The 22,403-nt window shown below is 38.6% G+C and overlaps 1 protein-coding gene and 1 long non-coding RNA gene across 8 annotated transcripts in view; one reads left to right on the top strand and one right to left on the bottom strand.

Moving 5' to 3' along the window:
* DSCAM (DS cell adhesion molecule) overlaps positions 1-22,403 on the top strand; it is an 836,160-nt gene that overhangs the window by 459,661 nt on the left and 354,096 nt on the right. For 3 of the 4 annotated variants that reach the window (NR_073202.3, NM_001271534.3, NM_001389.5), the window contains exon 4: positions 18,253-18,399. Coding sequence is in view for 2 of the 4 variants with exons in the window: in NM_001271534.3 (NP_001258463.1) it covers positions 18,253-18,399 (147 nt within the window). In the remaining 2 variants the exon portion in view is untranslated. Of the gene's footprint in view, positions 1-18,237; positions 18,400-22,403 lie in introns of those variants that run through there. The other variant, XM_017028281.2, reaches the window with a different exon arrangement.
* Positions 2,140-4,415, bottom strand: DSCAM-AS1 (DSCAM antisense RNA 1). Of its 4 annotated transcripts, none has more exons than NR_038896.1 (3): positions 4,043-4,415; positions 3,360-3,846; positions 2,140-2,919 (listed from the first exon to the last, which is right to left on the bottom strand). It is a non-coding gene; the product is annotated as a DSCAM antisense RNA 1 (long non-coding RNA). The 4 variants fall into 4 exon arrangements; NR_038899.1 differs by lacking the exon at positions 3,360-3,846 and adding an exon at positions 3,914-3,992 and having other exon boundaries at positions 4,090-4,414; NR_038898.1 differs by lacking the exon at positions 3,360-3,846 and having other exon boundaries at positions 3,914-4,415.

Genomic DNA, 22,403 nt, shown 5'->3' with positions numbered 1-22,403 from the left:
CTGGACCCTGGAGACAGTGAGACTACAAATCCCAAACCAGAGCAAGGCCAGTACTATGGTTAGACATAATCCCTACACAAAGCTTAGGCTAGGAAGGCAAGGGTATTTGCAAAGGCTGTTTTTTTTTTTTTGGAGGTCCAATCTTTTAGTGAAGTTGTACTTTTCTGCAGACTTCTCTTGTGTAGGACTTGTGTAGGACTAACAGCCTTCCATTTCCTCATTGCTGTTAAAACTATGTTTTTTCCCCCTAAATGTGCAAATGTCACAGGGAAATTATAGGTAGTATCAACAAGATCTTTGCTGTTAGGTATTCACCCCCCCTCTTCCTTTATAGAGCCCAGAGGGCTTTCCTTACCTGAGAAACCTGCTGTTCATTTAAGTCAATGTTAGATTTATGCAGCTTGTCTAAGTTTCTTATACCTGGAGAGTTTTCAAAATAATTAGTTTTTTACATAGTCAGAAATGGAAGTTGCTACAACTCACTGCTGATTCACTGACTATATTAAACTACCTGAAAAAAAAATGGAAAAATAAGGTTCCAAATAATGTAATCTGACATACATTTCATGAGAGAAATGACCAAAACTTAATCCTAGAGGGAATTTTATCTTAAAATCCTAGAGGGAATTTTATCTAAAGAAAATTCATTAGATGGTTGTAAAGCAAAAATGAAATTAAAAAATAATATAAATAAACGTGGAGTTCAAGAAAAACGTCACTGTTTCCACTTTTAAGTGGAGAAGTAATTTGACAAATTTTCATTGAAAGAATTTTGCTGATCACGAGTTTCTATCAAAACCCAAGAAGTGTAAACATAGGAAGTGCTTATAGGTTAATAAAGCAAAAATCATGTGTTATTAACGAGGAAGTGTTAAGGTGGTGCCAGATCCACGGGCACTCACTATTTCATTTCTGGGAGCGTTTTTCAGCCTGCAGTTCCCACACCACGCGTGCCGTGGAGCTCTCTGTGCCACGCTGCGGGGCCTCGGTCTGACCAGCAGGGGGCACCGAGTGTTCTCCCGCAGCGGCCCGGCGTGGGCGGCGGCTCCAAGGCCGATTCCTCAGCACCAGGCAGGTGCCTTTGAAGCAAAGGGCGTTCATTCACATTCACAAAGGTCTCCGGAACAGCCTTGTAGGTTCTTCAACTGCCCTCAACTAAAGCTTCGGAATCTGAAAACCTGGGAAGAAGCTTAGTGTCCTGACAGTATTTTCCTTTTAATTTTGCAAAGTTTACAAAATCCATTAAGAATTGCTTTGCAATGAAAAATATACACATTTTTATACTTTTTGTTTTCAAGTGCTTCATTCCATTTATATTTAGCGGTGAGGCGGGCCTAGGCAAAAATGAAATAAAAGCACAGTGTTAAGATCTGCAAGGCCATTAAATTGCAGTGCACGTAATTAATGGACCATGATATTGCTTAAACACAAATGTACACTAATCTTGATCCAGCGGTACTAGTGATTTGTTGTTACAGGGCTAGATCCACCTAAAGCTCATGGTGAACACTTACAACCTTGCACAGAAAGTGACTGTGCTTGAAAGCACGAAGGCAAAATCCCATTGGCCAAAGATACCTTGTATTCCTAGCTGTGAATCGGTTTATCCTCTTTATTTTATACTTTGCATTATTTTATTACTTGGAAGAATTCACCCACTTTTTTCTGACAAAGGCTTATCAGATTTTTCTTCTTAAAAAAATATATATAAAGTTTTGAAGAAAAGACAAAGCATTGCAAAGAGCTGTCAGAGGGGGACGAGAAGCTTACAAAGTGAGCAGGTGGCACACAGCCTGTCTGCAGTGGTCATGTGAGAGCCAAACCCCTCAGCCACATTAACAGCCTACAGCATGTGCCAAGCCCTTAAGAAGTCACATAGCATTTCAGAGAATCCCACAAAACCAAAAACACAAATTCTGTCAATGCAATACATATATTTCTAGGTAGACGTATTAGTACGTCTCTTATGTGGGTGCCGAGGAATCTTGTAAAAGTTTGTGCAAAATTGACGTCAGTTTTACTGCTTGTCAGCAGTGAAATGAGTGGATTCATTGATTCATTCATTTGACAAACATTTAATGAACCACTACTCTGTATGTGTTCTAGGGACTGGGAATACAGCATTGAACAAAATACAGAACTAAATGCATGCTTGATGGAGCTTTTATTGCCATGGTTAGCATGAGTTACATTCATAAAATATACTTTATTTTCATTAAAAAGAATGAGCTAGATTTCTTTATATCAACATAGAGAGATCTTAAGGAAACATAACGTTGGATGGGAAAAGTGAGTTTTTCCATGAGAAATAGTAAAATACTTATGTAAGTTTGAAAAACAAAGAGAAAATACAGAACCATACTATGTGAAGTTCATTGTCACAGCTATGTGTGGGAGTGTGTGTGTAATAAAATAAAAAGTCGAAACTGGGAATACACACTAATATTTCTGATAATAGGGTTTTTTAGGAGAAAAATATAGGATGGGGAGGGAACAAAGAGAAAAATAAAGCATTTTCTGTAAAGTTTTATTTATTTCATTAAAAATAAATAAAGCAAATTACACCAAATGTTAACAATGATCAATTTTAAGAAATGGGTACATGGATGAGTATGTCATGCCTATGTGGGTGATTGGTACTTTTTCAGTTAAATAAATAAATGGCAGTTGGAGGAGGGACAGAGAAGGACATGGGGAGTGAGACCAAACAAGGATCATGATGAGACCAGAACTTCCCTAGAGGAGTGGCCCGTTGTGAGCCTGAGAGATCCCCTGTAGCGACACTGAGCAGAGCTCCCTGTGCCTCTTTCCGTCCTGGCCTCACGCTGTCTGGTTGGCTTTCCCGATCCGTCGTCCATCTCTGTTGTCCTGTTGTTGTTGTTGTGGTTTTGAGATGGGGTTTCGCTCTTGTTGCCCAGGCTGGAGAGCAATGGTGCGATCTCAGCTCACCGCAACCTCCACCTCCCAAATTCAAGCAATTCTCCTGCCTCAGCCTCCCGAGTAGCTGGGATTACAGGCATGGGCCACCATGCCTGGCTAACTTTGTATTTTTAGTAGAGATGGGGTTTCACCATGTTGGTCAGGCTAGTCTCTAACTCCTGACCTCTGATGATCCACCCACCTAGGCCTCCCAAAGTGCTGGGATTACAGCTGTGAGCCACCACGCCAGGCCTTCTGCTGTCCAGTTTTAGTAACAGCTTTAGCAACTGCCTTGCTCTGCTCTCAGCATTCTCTGTTTTAACCATCCCGATTTCACCTCTGCCTCCCTTATGTCTACCTTTTGTCTCACAGTCTGACAATGAAAATCATCTGCCACTATCCTAGCACCAACCTGTGGGCCTCCCTGAACTCCCACTTACCTGGGCCACGTCAGCCCTGCAGCCCACGGAGCTCCTCCAGGGGGTGCCTCTCCTGTGTTTCCTTGGCTGTGATCTCCAAGCAGAGGGCAGGCCAACTGCGTGTTTCCTAGTCCCCCTAAGTAGCTTCATCTTTCCCTCCTAGCAGTAGACCCCTATCCCTTTCTCTAAGAAACACTGTATAACCCACCTCTTCCAGGAAGCATCGTGAACACAGTACTTCTCAAATCTTTGTCATTCATGAACTATCTTTATGATATCTGCAATCATTGAATGCCATCTGTGCTAGTGTTTTTGTCCTTTGAATAATTCTTGTTTACTTAAAACAATGTAATTATAAAAAAATGCATTACTACTTTTAAATGGAAAATCAGTTTAACTAGCCATACAGATAAATGCAATACAATGAAAGAAAAACAATAATATTAAATTCTAGTCAGATACAATTGCCTTCCAAAGACTCTAAACCAGCGGTTTACTTTTCCTTTGTCTAAAAAAAAAGAAAAGAAAGAAAAAGGAGACTAAGAAGTGTTAGAGCAATAGTGAAGATAACTTACTTCTGCAAAAACGTGCTGAGAATTCTAGTGGAGGCACCTAAGTCAGTGAGTGGATAACTGGTACCTTCTGTGGCTTTCCCTTTGAAAGAATCACAAGAATTGAGATTTACAGAGGAGAAAAAGTCTCACCATGTGTCCGGATATCATTTCTCTATAGCGTCTTATCAGCTGCATACCATCAGTGGGTTCCACTCCATTTTAATTCATCATGGATATATCATTTTCTTTTCTTTTCTTTTCTTTTTTTCTTTTTTTAGAGGGAGTCTTGCTGTGTCACCCAGGCTGGAGTGCAGTAGTGGCATGATCTCAGCTCACTGCAGCCTCTGCCTCCCGGGTTCCAGCATTTCTCCTGCCTCAGCCTCCTGGGTAGCTGGGATTCCAGGCGCACACCACCACGCCCGGCTAATTTTTGTATTTTTAGTAGAGACGGGTTTTGCCACGTTGGCCAGGCTGGTGTCGAATTCCTGGCCTTAGGTGATCTGCCTGCCTCAGCCTCCCAAAGTGCTGGGATTACAGGCATGAGTGACCTGCCCAGCCAGATATATCATTTCCAATCTCTCTTTACATCAGCGCTTACGTATATCCAACTGACACTGTTTGCCTCTGTTTTGCAATTGTTTGCACTTTTACTTTATGGTATGTTTCCTTTCCTTCTCATTAGGAATTAGCCTTTTAGGTAACTTGGATTCCATTACTAGGTCTGCATATGATGGGCAGTTGCTACATGATTTTATTAATACCATTTTGTTACAAAGGTTATTGCAAGGCAATGGAGTTTGTGATAAGCTAGATCTGGGGAAGTCATTTAGGGAATTGAGTTACTCTCACAGTGCAAGGCTCTGTGACATGAAAGACAGTCTCAAAGATTCTCATGGGGTCAGACTATTTGAAACCAAAAGGCAGTGGAGTGGGAGTGACACGAGGGACCGCATCTGACATGGTTTCTACCCTTGCGTGTTCTTGTAAGTATACATATTTGCATGTACATTTGTATGGATAGCTCAGTAAACTCATTATAGTTTCCTTTGACATCATCACGTGTCATTGGGAAACAAATGTAATCCAAGACCTTCAAATGATGTTGCAGTTTTAAAAAAATAAACTGCTTTCTCTGCTATTCCCATTATAAATGCAACCAAGCCTATGGCCTTATAGACTTGCTGGTCTCAAAGCATGTGTTTGAGGTGGGAAAAAATGTGTCATGTCCAAGGAAATGATACAAGATATACTTTGAAAATAGAACTGATAGGACATAGAATTGGCCTGAATGTCAGGATGAGGCAAAGGAGATGAGGACCAAGGCGGCTGCTAGGTCTTGGTGAGGAGCCCTGAACAGGTGAAGAGTCCCCCTACCAGGAATAAGAACTAGGGGACTTGCTAAAGCAGGAATCTTTAATTTAAAATGCAGAAATATTTAAAGAGAGAACTTTAAGAATCCAAGGTATACCAGCTGATGCTAAAAGACGATTAGCCTTGCTTTGAAACGGAAGCCTAGTCAGAAAAGTAACAATTCCATCACTAAGATGTTGAAAAAGGCTCTTCAAACATTTTTTGCTCTGACTCACAGTAAGAGATACATAGAATAAAGACATTTTATCTTAGAACTCAGTAATGCATACACATAAATACACACATAAATATACAAACACACACATAACTTTATGTATGCACAGGTGTACTGAAACAAGCTGCAGAATATTTATCACCACTATTTGATACACACTGATACATTCTATGCTCTTTTATTTCATTTTTTTAAAAAGTAAAGCTGCAATCCATGAAACTGATTTCACAACCTATTAGTAGGTGAACCCAAAGTGTGAAAAACCATTATCCCATAATATTAAGTGGCCACAACATAGTGTTAGTTTCATTCTTTATGGTGGTTCCTATTTTTCCAGATTCTTTCCCATAATCCTATGCCATCTGTATCAGGTAGACAAACTTTACAGTTAATTTTCAATGTGTTTTGCCAATAAGCCCAGTGTCTTAAATTCCTTTTGGGTTGCTAACACAGACCAGGTAAGCATAGTCACTGTGGGTTGAAGTGCCGTGCTCTGACCTTCCTTCACTTATTTTTTCCTTTTTGTATGTGTTGCTTTTTAATCAGCACTGTATTGTGCACCCACAACTGGAACAGACAGTCAACCTGAAATACACATTCCCTTCCAGCCCCAAAATGCAGAAATCTTGTGGGACAGTAAATAATGCTGATGTACCTCTTCTAAACATGAGTCCGCCTGATACAACGAGCACATCCAATAGCATTCTCTTCCTTCCCCTTTCCATATCTCTATAAAGGGCTACTTTCAATTCCCCAAAGTCCAAAATAAGTCAGCCATGGACAGCCAGTGCCACACCCCGTGGTTCTTATTCCTGGCAGGAGGACTCTTCACCTGTTCAGGGCTCTTCACCAAGACCTAGCAGCCACCTTGGTCCTCATCGCCTTTGCCTCATCCTGGCATTCAGGCGAGTTCTATGTCCTATCAGTTCTATTTTCTTTTTTTTTTTTTTTTTTTTTTGAGACGGAGTCTCGCTCTGTCGCCCAGGCTGGAGTGCAGTGGCACGATCTCGGCTCACTGCAGGCTCCGCCTCCCGGGTTCCCGCCATTCTCCTGCCTCAGCCTCCCGAGCAGCTGGGACTACAGGCGCCCGCCACCACGCCCGGCTAATTTTTTGCATTTTTAGTAGAGACGGGGTTTCACCGTGTTAGCCAGGATGGTCTCGATCTCCTGACCTTGTGATCCGCCCGCCTCGGCCTCCCAAAGTGCTGGGATTACAGGCGCGAGCCACCGCGCCCGGCCTCAGTTCTATTTTCAAACCATATCCTGTGTCAGTTCCTTGGATATGCCACAGTTTTTCCCGCCTCAAACATACTTTTCCTTTAACCTTGTTCTTAGCTCTACTTATCCATGAATAATCCCTTCTTATCTTCCTACCTTCTGTGGCTCTGCTGAAGTGCACGTCCTCAGAAATCCTTACATACACACCCCACTCCAAACCCCCACCATCTAAACAGCTCTTCTCTTTACTAGAGTCAACTTCTGTTTCTCAATTCATGTAAATGCATTTATGAGAGTGGATTTATTTTCTTTGTCAATGTACTCTTTTTGTCTGTGTTCCCAACTGAAATATTTGCTTTCAAATGTCAGTGGCCAAAACCATCTTGTTCATCGTATAAATAAATAAATACAATTTATAAGTTTTACGAGCTTCTTTGGTTCTTTAATAAAAAATTCTTGAAGTGATTCATTTAAAAGTAAAGGAATTATACAATTATATTCTTTCTAAGGATTCATTATTTTAAACAACTAGAAATCTAACTAGAGCAAAGATTAGTGACAGACTTGAATATCTGCACAAAGATCTGATCATTAACAAACTAAATAGGGTAATTAGGTATACAGTTGGAATGCAGTATGCAGGCTTAAATTAGTAGTGTATAATTGAGCCTCATTTAACTGCAGGAGAATTTCACTGAGAGAATTTTATTTACATAAAAGAAATGTCTTAGTGAAATTGCTTTGAGAGAATTTAAAATATGTACACCAAATCTCTCCTTACATACTGGATCCAGCAGAATTGTAAGCTTATTCCTCATGCCCCATGTGATGGTGTTATTTCTAGCCAAATGATTTCTTCCAGGCGGCTCAAGATCCACGCTGGGGCTTCATTATTTCTTGGATATCTTGATGATACTCTCATAAACATAATAGGCTCCAAAGAAGGTTAAATAAAATGATATGGTGAGAGCTCTGCCCCCTCAATATGATCCCTTATTTTACTGATCCTATTTTTAGAAAAAAACTCGAAGTATGTATATCTTCTAAACAGTCACTTAATTTAGCACTGTGCAAACCTTTGGGGGCAGCAGGTAAGTGGGGCAAACAAGAGGATCCCTTTGTCTTCAGAGAGGCAACTGCCATTTTGAGGAGGCAGCTCTGACACCCAAATCAACTGGACTGATGCAATTATGTGTGAAATGGGGAATTATCACAGAAGTTCAGGAAGAGACAGAGATCAGCTACATGGCAGATTCAACTTTTGTGTGAGGTATTTGGAGGGGAGGGAATACAAAGACCAGGGTGAATATTGAAAGTCTCCCCTTCTGCTTTTAGGCAAGTCCAGGTAGCGACCAGCTTGAAAAGCAAGCATAATAAAAGCCCTCTTTGACGCATCTACTCCCGACAGCAACATCATCCTAAATTTATCTCCTTCTATGTTGTGTGTTACATGGGTTTGGTTTACGTCTACTGTGTCCATATGCTCACCACCCACTGACATCTTTTTCCAAAATACATTTTAACTACCCAAGAAGCACATTAATAGAGTCTTCTTTTAAGATACTCAAATACGTGACAGTGGGAAATGAAACATAATTTCTCCTCCCCTTCCTCTAATCCACTCATGATTTCAGAGGCAACCACAGTTAACATTTGGGCAGATATCTGCTGATCCAGGCCTCTCTGTTCATTTGCATACACAAATTTATTCATATACCACTGCCTTTGGTACATAACATTACAGATTGTTATGTAACCACTTTAGACTATGTAGTGGAGATTTTTCTGCAGGGTATGTGTACATATACCTTACTGTCTTTTATGTAACTGCAGAGTATAGATGTACCCTAATTTATTTACTTATTTATCCCTTGATTGGCATTCAGGTTTATGTATAAGTTTTCATTGTTGGCCGGGCGCGGTGGCTCACGCCTGTAATCCCAGCACTTTGGGAGGCCGAGGCGGGCGGATCACGAGGTCAGGAGATCGAGACCATCCTGGCTAACACGGTGAAACCCCGTCTCTACTAAAAATACAAAAAAAATTAGCCGGGCGTGGTAGCGGGCGCCTGTAGTCCCAGCTACTCGGGAGGCTGAGGCAGGAGAATGGCGTGAACCTGGGAGGCGGAGCTTGCAGTGAGCCGAGATCGCGCCACTGCACTCCAGCCTGGGCGACAGAGCGAGACTCCGTCTCAAAAAAAAAAAAAAAAAAAAAAAAAAAAAAAAAAAAAAAAAAAAAAAAAAAAAAATAAGTTTTCATTGTTAAATTATGCATCCGTGCATTTGGGGGTGAACGTCAAAGTGTGCACTTCTGAGTTTTTCCATAGGATAATCTTTGACGTTGCAAGAGGGATTGAAAAGTATGCAAGTCTCACACTTGAAATATACTGGCAAGTTGCCCTTCAAAAATCAAAAGGCTTCACCAATTTACATGCCCACCTATAGAGGTTTTTATTTCCCATACCTTTTGTCAAGACCACTTATTTTCAAACATTTTATTTTTTGTTCTAATCTCCTGTATGAAAAGAATCTCTCATTTTAATTTACATTGATTTGTTCAAGTTCTAAGTAAATTTTGTTCAGCAATTAATTAAAACGTAATTCATTTCACTTGTGAAAAGGTGACATTTTTGCAATATTAAGTTGACTAATCCTAGATTTGGATATGCCTCTTCATTTATCCAGGGCTTCTATTATGTCATTTGGTAATGACGTGGAGTGTTCTTTAACTCAATTTTGTGCATTTCTAGCTCTTAGACACTTAATATTTTTATTGGTTCAGCAAGAATATTTTATCATATTTTATTACAGATTAGAGCTACTCTAAAGTGCTTTTCTCTGTCAGGTTCTTACATGGATGTTCTTATTTAATATCATGATTTTCCCAAAAAGGCAATATTGCCCCTTTGTACAGGTTGTATATGTACTCAAGGCTATGGCAATAGGAAGGCAGGGAGCTGAGGCCCTTTGCAGCATCCTTTAGAAGTCCTCTCCTCCCCTGGCTTTCTTAGCGCCACACTGGCTTGTGTCCTCCATGCCTCCTCTCACTCCTTTCCTGGGTCTTTTCTTGGCCTTCTTCCTTCACTCGCCTTCCTTCACTCCCCTTCCTGGGGAGTTACTAAACTTCAGTTCTCATGAAGGGCTTCTCCTCAACAAGCATAGTTTGGTCTCCAACGCCCTGTCTGCAGCTTGACTTTTTTGATTTTAACTGACTCAGCATGCTCACAGCTGAGCTCTTATCTTTTCTGAAACAGAATCTCCCCTACCCCAACTCCTTTGTTCTACCAAGGCCACCCCAACCCCATAGGTCCCTCAGAATCAATACCTGGCATCTTCTTCTCCTCACCCCAGCTCTGTTGAACCTTTAGGTTAAATTTCTTTCTGTGCTCATGGCTTCTGCCCCACTCTGGTTGTACCTCCGCTTGCCCATGCCTTGCCGTCTCACACTTGTGCCATGGCCCAAACCCAGGGGAGCGATTTGCGTGAGGGCATGAGCCAGCAAGCCAGGGCACCATCCTGGCACAGATACTTCTAGTTGTATAAACTGGGGCAAGTCCCTGAACTTCTCTGTTTCTCAATTTTCTCATCTGAAAAATGGGAATAACAGTATCTTCCTCTTGGGGTCATTGTAAGAACTAAATGTGTCATAACATAAATAATGCCGAAAGCAGTGGTAGCCTCCACCTAGAACCTGTTGGCTCTGATTAGGATTCATGTTAATATCCATGTCTCTATCTAAATTTTCCCTTTTTATAAGGACACACCGGTCACATTGGATTAGGGGCACACACTATCCAAGTATGAGTTCATCTTAAGATATTACATCTGCAGTGACTGACCCTATTTCCAAATAAAGTCACATCCCGAGGTACTGCAGGTTAGGACATTAACATAAATTTTTGAGGAAGGGGGAAATTCAGCTCATAACGTCAGGTTAGATGTCTTCTCTTTAGGGGGCTCTTCTTTTCTCTTATATGCAGCTTTCAACATGTGCATATTTTTATCTGGCAACTCAATTGCTCAGGAAATATCTGTAGCTCGTTCATGCCTGCATGTAATCCTTTATATATATCATATATATGATATATAGATATCTATATAAGATATATATGATATATATGATATATAGATATCTATATAAGATATATAGATATCGATATCTATATAAGATATATAGATATCGATATCTATATAAGATATATAGATATCGATATAAGATATATAGATATCGATATAAGATATATAGATATCGATATAAGATATATCGATATCTATATAAGATATATAGATATCGATATAAGATATATAGATATCTATATAAGATATATAGATATCTATATAAGATATATAGATATCTATATAAGATATATAGATATCTATATAAGATATATATGATATAGATATATATATATCTTCTATTTCCACTTCTATTTTAGTTAATGCTAAGAGGATCATGTGGTTTCTAATGCTATATACTTAGAACTTAGATTTAATTCTTATGTTCCTCTAATATTTCAGAAACTGTTATTGAAACGGCTTTGAAGAAAGCTGAGTTTCATGACACAGTGTGGCCATCAATTGGCGACGGCAGGCGCAGCTGAGAAAAGCTTCATCGTGCTTGTGCTACCATTTAACATCTTATTAGCAGAGCCATCTCTTCTTTCAATTGCTATTAACTCAATTCATATAGACTGCAATAGGAAAAACACAACAACAAGAGCTCTAAGATATATTTCTCTAAGTGAAAAATGACATATGCTTTTAAAATCTTCCCCCAAATAGTATTGCCTTTACTGAAGATCTAACAGCTTAACCACACAGTAAAAAGCCAGGGAGCATAATGAAAGAATAATTCATCACAATCTTAAAATATGCTCATTTTCATATAAGAATATATTCATCTCTGGAGGAGAACAAACTCTTTTTATGCAGTCTACATGAGGAAATGTGCCGAAATCTAAAAAAAGGTACTTTAGCTTTCTTTTTACTGAGACCTAGGAAAGGATGTTTTGAATACAAGCAATAATAGACTGTTTCATCCACCCATGCATGCATTCAACAAATATTTTAGGATGTCATAGCCAAGTACTGTTCTATGTAATGGAGATGAAATGTTGAACAAGACAAAATGAGTTCTTGCTATTCTAGATGAAGGAGGGAAATGTTAAACCAATCTCATGCACATGTACAAGATAACGTCACATACAGGTATAATAAAACCAAGTCTCTCATCATGAATGACCATGATCATGTGACTTTGCTGGAAATTTGACTTAAAAACTGAGGCCAGGATGACAAGAAGGACCCATCCAGGGAGAGATCTGGGCTCAGAGCCTCCAGTCAGAGCAATTAAAAGAAGTACAGCATGGCCTGGGTATGGTGGAAGAAGGAGAGAGTGGAGTGGAAGCTTTTGGAGATATGGCCAAAGCCCAAACTATCATAGACCATCATAAGTGGTTAGGTCTAGTGGGATTCCATCAAGGCACTAAATGATGTATATTGCTAAATGCTCATGCATGTTGAATAGAGATTAAATTGTAGGGAAGCAGAAGTGGACACAGAGAGTTTGAAAGCTACAATCCTTAGATGTGTGTGGTACAGTGTTGAGGGAGGAAAGTGGATGGATTCAGGATATATTTTGGAGGTAGAAGCAGAGGGCCTTCCTGTTAGATAAAATATGATGGACAAGAAATGATTAATTTTGAGAACTTCAGGATATTTTTTTTATACTCAGATACTAACAGATATGCCAGGGAGAATTGTTCAAGTAACATGATAATGATTTTGGGGAAAGTCCCTGAGTTTCTGTGAATATCCATTTCTACTGTGGAAAAGACTTCTGAAGATAATATCTTGGTCAGCTTGGGCTACTATCACAAAATAGCATGGACTGGGAGGCTTAAACCACAAAAATTTATCTCTCACTGTTCTGGAGGCTGGGAAGTCCAAGATCAAGGTATTGGCAGATTTGGTGCCTGATGGGGGCTCCCTTCCTGGATTGCAGACAGCCGCCTTCTCACTGCGATCCCACAGGGCGGAAAGAGAAAGTGAGGTCTGGTCCCACCCTTATAATCACACCTATACCTAATTACTTCCCAAAAGCTTTATTTCCAAATACTGTCATATTGGGGATTAAGAATTCATCATATAAATTTTGTGCAGATGCAAACATTCAGTTCATAGCAGATGTCTGTGATCCTCCTTTCCCCAAGCCTTTCACTGGGGTATACAAAAATACTCCATGGACTCAGTATATCTTTCTATGTTTACCAATGCTCTGTCATGTGACATTGGCTCAGAGGTTTAGTAAATATTTTGCCTGTGGTGAAATAGCTCCAAATGGCAGAATTATGATGTAAAATTCATCTACATCATTACCACTCAGATGCTTTCTTTAATATATGCGGTTGCCTTTCATAAGTAAGCAAACAAGCAATTGAAAGGGGGCCCTGCTATGTTTATGTCAGTGGGATCTTCCCTGTCTGGCTCACAAAGGCTACATTTTATACACCTGTGGATTGTCCAGAACAGCAGAATAACAAACATGGCATTTACTAGGATAGATACCAATTTAATTTTTTATTTATTAATATTTTTTTCAATTGAAAAGTTATATACATTTATTGGGTACAATGTGTTGATTTTGTATGTGTCTATATATACACACCTATGTGTATACACGATGTGAAATGATTACATCAAGATGATGAACATATCTACCACCTCACTTATCCCTTTTTTTGTGATTTGAAATTTACTCTCTGAGCTATTTTGAAATATAGAATACATTATTATTCAGCTTAGTCACTCTGCTGTGCAGTAGATGCATGACTATCTGCTAGATGACATAAATGCATTTTAATTTGATCTTCAACAGCAGAACAAAGAGATTACTCATCATCTCTCTTTTTTCTAGATGAAGAAAGCAAAGTTTAGAGTTAAATGACTAGACTGAGGCCACACAGCTGGAAAGGGACAAGGACCGTTTTGTAGTTCAGATCCACTGGCTTCCAAAGCCCAGGTTTTTTCTTCCACACTGAGAAATCTCTCAAAGTGGATGAGCTTATTGCACCTCAAACCAGGGAAAATCTTTTAATTTGATTCTTCATAAGAACAAGAAAAAGTTAGCTGAGAAGATTGAACAAGCACATTAATGATGAGGACTTTAACATATAAAATTAAGTATTTGTATTAGAATAACACACAAGGATAAAAGCAGGTATGGGGATAAATACCAGTTTTCCTCCCTGGGTATCAGTAGCCCCTTCATCCCAGGGAGACAAGGACAATGCCACTTCCTTGATTGCTCTCCAGGTTCTTCCCTTCTATCCTTTTTCCTCAACTTCTTGGGATGTTCCTAAACCCAAAGGCTCAAATCTGTTTAGATTATAAGCTCCCTAGAGATAGGGGCTGTCTCTCTCCTTTTTGCATTTCTGGAGCCTAGGACAGTGCTGGTCCAACGAATGGGTGCATCACTTGGCTCTGTTTCCTGACCACCTATAACACCTGCTGGTTTCTAGAATCAACTCTGATGTGCCTCTTTCTGGAGATCATGCATGCCTGCTTTCTGCGGCTCAGATCTTAAAGATCTGACTTTCAGCATTAACAACCCATAGTTCAGCAAAATAGATTTCTAGAACTGCTGCTATTTTAATATCTGCCTTTGAAGAAAACCCAAAATGGTGTTGTGCCTGAGTTTCAGAACCCACTGCTCTATGAGTGTTTTTTGCGGCTCAGCTCCGTGACAATGGGAAGAACGTGGCTGTAGAACTCCAAATCTGAGGGTTTCTGCAACATTTTCCTACTGGGCTAATGCCCCATTTTCTTTGGTAGTTTTGTGTCCCTACATAGAAATATCCCACTGGCCCCTATGCTAATCTTAACCAGGCTGACTGAACTGACACCAAGCGCTGGATTTATTTTAGTGGCACTAACATGTAAGCTCATGTTAACTGATGTTGGAAAACCACTATGTTACTTGCTCATAACCTATTTACTCTTAGTTTATACAAAGTCCTAAAAGCCTTGATATGTCTGTTTTCTAACTCTCAGCATACTGAATGCATCACACTGTGTGTTGACAAAGATACTGATAACAAAGGGAAGTAACATATAACAGCTGGATAGTAAAGGAGGAAGCAGAAAAGCTAATAAAGACAAGCTCAGAGACTTGAACATCTGGCAGTCTGGGACCATTCCATGCATCTTGAGATGCCACATAGCTTCTGAGACATCCCTCTGGTAACTGAGCAGCATGGCTCAATAATCGATGTCCAAAATGATGACTCAAAATCCAAAAATCATTCCCTGTTCAGTAGGCTCTAAATTGCAGTGTGTCTAACATGACAAAAAGTATGAACTATGTTTTAGAACTGTGTCCGGTTAAAATGCTAATAGTATTCCAAGGAAAATAAAACAGAAAGACACACAAAGGGAGACAGAATGAGACAGAATTGTGTGTTTGCACTTTTTGCTGCCAATAAATTGTATTTAAACATTTGCCTATTTTAACAGAAGCACATCCATTAATCCCATTGAAGGACATGAACAAACCATTTAATCCATATGACATGGAAACCTTTGGTGGCATAAGGTAGCAAGTGGGGTACAGTGGCAAGTTAGGGAGCAGTTAAAATGATTCCTTGTTACCACAGGGCTGACATATTTGGTGCTCTAATGACTTAGCTGTGTCCTTGTTGTCCCTTGATAGTTCCACAGGACTCCTGAGTTGAGACTGTACCCAAGGACCCTGGACTTACCTGTTCCTCTCATAATTAAAAGATCCTACTTTTCAACCTTATTTTATGTTTTAAAATGTTGATCAATTTCAAGATGAGATAAATTGAGAAATGAAGGACTAGACAAAGGAGGTCAAATTAACCCATTTATGCCTGAGGTTGCAATTTTTTAAATTTTTGCAATCAGACCTTGGCAATGACCTTGAGCAGCAGGAAATAAATAATTGCCACATGCTTAGCGTTCCAATAATGAAACGCTAGGCTTAAATGGGTTTACGCACAGAAACTCAGTTAATGTCAACTCCTTCATTCCTGTAAACATCTCAAAAAATGCTTAAGACAATCAAAGGTTCAAGTTCTTCTGAAATGATACGCCCTAAAGCCTTATTTAACGTAAGTGGGTAAACGAAAAAAATGTTAGATATTACAAGAACAAAATGTTCCTAGAGAATAGAGCCCTCTCTGGAATCAGTAATAATGCAGGCTGCTGCTATCTGTGTGCATTTCTCAACCTTTCTGGAAAATGGCACACAAAATCCTTCCCACTTGTATTTTGCCACCACTCATGGCCTATCAATTCTAATGAAAATACTCCACGCTAAGAAGGTGACAGGAATTACATACATCATCTTTTTTTTTTTTTGACTTTCCTTTCTGTCTATCAAACTGTACTTTAAAGGAACTGATTATTAAAGCATTATGTAAGTATGCAAAATATATTGAAAGAGAAATAATGTTTCCATTATACACAATGTGTATCATAAGAAAGGCTGGTGTGTGATGACACATGACAAGTGGTAAAAGGTATTTTTAGTTGCTTTCATTTTGGGGAATAATAAAGCAAAATTATCTGGAATATACAGCATTAGGAGATTTTTCAGCTTCTCTAATAGCTAGCATTATTTATGGCATATTTTAAACTAAATGTCTAACTGGAATTGTTTGGAAAGTTAATATAGATATTACTTTAAAGATATTTTATACTACCTTTAATAATTAATTTGCGCTCCTTTGAAAAGCTTATACAAGGTCAGTATTTGCTCTGTTATTTTATGATCTTTTTCACATCTGTGTTCTTTGGAATTACTCCTAACTCATGATAATTCATAAATCATTTTTAGGCTGGGCATGGTGGCTCATGCCTGTAATCCCACTTTGGGAGGGATTACACTCCCTGGCACTTTGGGAGGCCAAGACGGGTGGATCACTTGAGCTCATGAGTTCAAGACCAGCCTGGGCAACATGGTGAGATCTCGTCTCTATAAAAAAATACAAAAATTAGCCAGGTGTGATGGCCCACTCCCATAGTTCCAGCTATTCGGGAGGCTGAGGTGGAAGGATTGCTTGAGCTCAGGAGGTGATGGCTGCAGTGAGCTGAGATGATACCACTGCACCACAGCCTGGATAATACAGCCAGACCTTATCTCAAAAAAAAAAACCATAAACCATTTTTAATTTATCTGAGAAACTGACCTATGCATGATGTGTAGTTACTGCAGAAAATGACCAAGAAATTATCTTTACAATTTAAATATGTAAAGCTCAAAAGCAATGAAGCTAAGACTCCTGGAAATTCTGACTGAAATAAACTAAAGGATGTTTCAACTGAACCTGAGAAAAATAAGCAATAAAAGTTGATTATTTGGCATTTTAGTCTTTTTTCAAAGATAAAAATCACATTCTTTCTAGTGGAATCACATCACATGCAGAAATAGCCCATAGAAGAGTCTAACGGTGGCAGGAGGTGTACTGAGTTACCCACCGGGAAGGTGCAATGAGGCACTCTCAGCTCTACTTTTTTTTTTTTTTTAAAGTAAAAGACCAGAAATTTTATTATCTTAGGGAAATTATAGAATCCACTTACGATGATCATTTACATTTTACCTTTATGCTCCAACTTGTTTTATCAGCCAATTAAAATTGAACAGCGAAAAATATCTTTAAAAGTTACATTTTCAAAGGGAAAAAAACATTTTTGCCCTCTTAAACTAACACTGATATTTGATCTCAATGTTGGCCCTTTCTGTTCAACTGAAGCTTTACCGGTAAAAATTAGAGGTTACAGATAGGACATTGTTTTGTGCTGACATAATGGGGAATGACTGATCATGAATTTTTTTTCTTGAGGTGAAAATTGTTATTGTTAGTGATTTGAACAGTCCCTTTAAAAATTAGTGATTAAGAAATAACAGAGTATTCTAAAACACTGAATCTGGGAAGAATTGATATGTGTCATAGAATATAGTGATAAATATTGGTTATTAATGTGAGGAAATAAGACAGCCTTTTTAGGGGAAGTTTGTAGAATATTTTATTGCTTTGTAGTCTAATATTTTTGTGCTTTTATTGAAACATTTTAAACTGAGGCAAAAGTTTATACTTTCATAAGCTAGAGATGTGCAACAAAAAGTTAATATTCCCTTAATTTGTCACATTCTAAGGGAAATGTAATGATCCAAGAAAATCTTCTGTGTTCGGTATATACCAATTATATGACAACTTCGTTGCTGTAAGATAAATGCATGATCTAAAAAAAAGTTTATGAGGTTAGATTTGCTAAGTATATATTTATTGTATAGCATAAGGACTAAAAACCCTTAATGTAGGCTAGTCAAAAAATTAAAACAGCTTGGACCCTTAATTGACACACACACACACACACACACACACACACACACACGCAGACGCACGCACCCATTTTTAGCCTTTTCATTAAGTTTCTTCAGGTGGGGGAAAAAAAAAACTGTTTAAGGACTTTGTCTGTGTGGTTGGGTTGCTTTCATTGTCTTTTAACCAAGCCACTGTTTTCCTCTATTTCAGGATCTAGATTTCTCATCACATCCACGGGAGCCTTGTATATTAAAGATGTACAGAATGAAGATGGATTGTATAACTACCGCTGCATCACGCGGCATCGATACACCGGAGAGACGAGGCAGAGCAACAGCGCCAGACTTTTTGTATCAGGTAAAAACTTATCAAGACTCTGTCTGCTATGTCTGCTATTTCTTTGTTAGTGTCCTGAGACGACTCAATCAAAATTGTGGAGTGTTGCCACTAAAATGGAGCCTTCAATTCCTTTTCCAAAATATTTTAGGAATTTTAAAACTCTTTTAAATGAATATGAGTACAATTTCATAGAAATACAGATTTCACATTTGTCAAACCAGTAATTGACACATTCACATAATGATGCGTTAGCATTTCAGGGAGCACATTAGGAGTGAAAGATCCATCTCCATCCCAAATATCCATCTCAAATGCAGTCAAATTGCATTTGATTTGATTATAAAACCAAATACAAAATACCCAACCTTTGCCTTTGTAGCTGAAGAATATAAAATTGCCCCCCTGTGGTAAATATCCTATAAGGTTGTAATAGTGAGATGGAAGTGACCAAAGGTTGCTTGCTATCAATATTTGAGAAGTACCTTATTTGTAATAATGCTTTATGGGAAGAAGTGAAGGGAACTTGTTGAACATTGGAATAATTTAAAACATCACTGCCTGAGCACCCACTTTTTGTCCTTGATAATGTACTGTTGGGATTTTTCTCTTCATCACTTACATCTTCAAAATAGCCAATAGTCTTTCAAGGTCCAGCACAAATACAAGTCAGAATTAAATTAGTTTTCCTTTGAACTTGCAAGTATTTTTGTTTCTTTATCTGTTCTTTTACAAGTCAATTGCTATTTTCTCCCTTGCTTTTATAGTTATCATGTCTTTTGGGGGAAAAATGAATTAGAAAATGAATAATAACTATCATCTTAGTCCATGATAGCTTTAAGGAGAGCACAATATTCTGCTTATTCAGAAAATCCTAGAAAACGTCCTCTTTGTGTTAAAGAGAAATTTTCTAATGGCATGTTCAGAAAAGAAAGGGGAAGGATTCGAGGTAGGAGGGGGATCCTGATATAAAATTAATTTGGGATTCGCAAAATTAGTAAATAAGCATTTCTCCCTCCAAATGATGACATAAGTGGTGATGATCTAAGAGCCCGTCTTTCTGTTTCAGGTGACCTTTTTTATCTTCATGCTGAATCATCAAGTGTTGATTTTTAAATGTATCTCTCAGGGTTGGAAAGGCAAGTTTACTTTCCTTAATCCCACGATGTTTGTTCATTTTTTGTTTTGGAGTGATTCACTAATGTTTCAAAAATGGACAGAAGTAGTCACAAGCATTTTGTCACCATGGGAGTCCTAGGATTGCCTAGTGAGCATTGGAAAAGTGAGAGCAACAATGTATAATCCAGCCAGGGAATATCATACACTAAGCCACCTGCCGAAAAGTAGCCAAGGAATAAGACTGAGCATTCAGGACTAACAGTATAGATGAAGACAGGGAGGTGATAGATGCCAGGAGAAGGGAGGGGTCCACAGAGTCACATGCCACAAAAAGGCTCATATGAGAGTCTACCATATGTGGAAAATAACTCAATATTTTTTGTCATTGAAATTTTAATAAAGCAGTTGAGGAAGAAATTTGTTAATGCTAAAAGATGAGACTGTAGACACTGAATACAGAATGCATTTCTAACATGTCAAGCTTTGAAGGAAAAGAGAAATTAATTTCATTTTAAATTAGATTTAAATATACTGAAAAATGTACATCTGGAGTTTGGGTCATGGTGGAAACATGTTGGTGTTTGACCCCAAACTCCTCCTGAAACCAACACAGATAAAATAGGATGACAAAGAAAAAAGTACATGGATGGCACCTTCAACACAACTGGATTACTGGCAACAACAGGACCAGCAGCAGAGGTGGAAGGCAGTAGAAGGGGTCAGCCTGTTGGGTTTATGGTAGTGTCAGAAAACTGCAAATAACCAACGGGTCCCCATCTCCAAAAGCAGAGGAGAATTCTTTGTGTCTTAGAGTCCTCACAACACTGGGATAGAACTGCATGAGGTCTAGGTTGGAGATGAGTCACAAGGCCATTAGAGTGGCTGGTAATGTTTGCACAGGCCAGTGATGGTCTATGTCCTTGAAGATAGTGGAAGTACTCAGCAAGTACTCCTTTCAGAAGAACAGAGACTCACTCTCAGGGGAACGGCTCAATTTAGAAATCAAATTGAGCCAGAGTAGAATACAAAGAGTAACAGAGAAGGCTCGGGAACCAGGGGAGGCCCTAGAGAATTCCATCCTATGAAATACTGCAAAAGAAAATACAACACGCACAGCCTTAGAATGTAAAAAACAGTGTTCTAGGAAACACATGGCCAGAAGTGGAAGCCCATACAGTTCAATCCCATATAGCTCTGAGAGATGGGCTAAATGTCGAGTCCTTGAAGGTAATATCAAGGGAGAAGACTGGAAAAATATACTCATTTCATCCTCTCCTGCAGGAACCTTCTCCTAATTAACTAAGAATCTCTATCTTATTGTAAAATGAAACAAAAAGGAAAAAGATTTAACCCAACACAACTTTATCACAAGAAAAAGAATGAAAATTTTTAAAAAAGTTTTGATTATAAGTAACTACAAAAAATACTGACAAATCATATGAAAACTATATTTTTTTGTTTGAAATGATTAAAGCTTTGAAAGAGCAGTATAAATCAGAAATAAAATGATGAAACAACACAAATCTGTGAAACAAAAAGTGGCATATTTTGGAAAAAGTTAGAAAAATGAAGAGTTCTAAAATTAAAATGAAATGACAGGGAACACATCAGAGGATAAACACAACAGAAAGCATAATATGGGAAATCAAAAATATTAAGGAATAAGACAAATAGAGTTAAAAATGTATAGATGTCTGACAAAGATGATGAAACACATGTATAACTAAATTCTCTTAAAAAGAAAGCCAAGCAATTGATGAGAATAAGTATTAATAATAAAACACTAATTCAAAAAAAGTCTCCTGTCATTAAAAAGAATGCATAATGACTACATATTAAAATGGCACAACCCTACCTGGAAAAATGGACCCAGAATGGTCAACATGCAACATAGTCTAATAAAATTTTTGAGCTGTAAAGATAAAGAAAAATATCATTTAGACAGCCAGAAAATAAGTTCAAGTTACTTCTAAGGGAGAATATAAACAGACTAATGAAATAGAAAATAGACCAAAAGAACAGTAAATGTAATAAACAAGTTTTTTCTTTAAAAAAAAAGTCAGTAAAATAGACAAACTGACCTAATATTTTTTAAAATGGTCTTGATTTCTGTGCTAGGGCTAGTTATTTGGACAAGTCATTCTTTCTCTGAGGATAACTAGAAAGACTTGTTAAATGTGTAAAAAACATCTGCTCATGGCTGTTAGGAGCTAGAGTGAAAACTTACAGGACCAAATTCCAGAGGAAAACAGCCACAAGAAGTGAGTTTGGTATTGAGGACTGCCTTTTCAGTAGGGACAGTTTTAGAGGAGATTGCTGAAACTCCGAGAAGATGAGCAACTCTTCTGAAAGGTTAGTAGTGTCTAGAAGGTAAAAATTGGAGTCTAGTCTCTATATATGTATTAGGGTTCTTTAGGGGGACAGAATTAATAGGATAGATGTATATATAAAGTAGAGTTTATTAAGGAGTAATGACTCACGTGATCACAAGGTAAAGTCCCACAATAGGCCGTCTGCAAGCTGAGGAGAAAGAAAGTCAGTCTAATTCCCAAAACCTTCAAAGTAGGGAAGCCAACAGTGCACCCTTCAGTCTGTGGTCGAAGGTCCAAGCGTCTAAAAGTTGAAGAACTTGGAGTCTGATGCTCAAGGGCAGGAAGCATCCAGCACGGGAGAAAGATGTAGGCTGGAGGACTAAGCCAGTCTAGTCTTTCCATGTTCCTCTGCCTGCTTTTATCCTAGCCATACTGGCAGTTGATTAATGGTGCCCACCCAGATTGAGGGTGGGTCTGCCTCTCCCAGTTCACTGACTCAAATGTTAATCTCCTTTGGTGACACCCTCACAGACACACCCAGGAACAATACTTTGCATCCTTCAATCCAATTAAGTTGACACTCAATATTAATCA

This window comes from Homo sapiens, chromosome 21 (genome assembly GCF_000001405.40).
Source record: "Homo sapiens chromosome 21, GRCh38.p14 Primary Assembly".
In the NCBI taxonomy this organism is placed as follows: Eukaryota; Metazoa; Chordata; class Mammalia; order Primates; family Hominidae; genus Homo; species Homo sapiens.
Note: the sequence above shows the minus strand (reverse complement) of the source record. Positions and strands in the feature narration are given on the sequence as shown.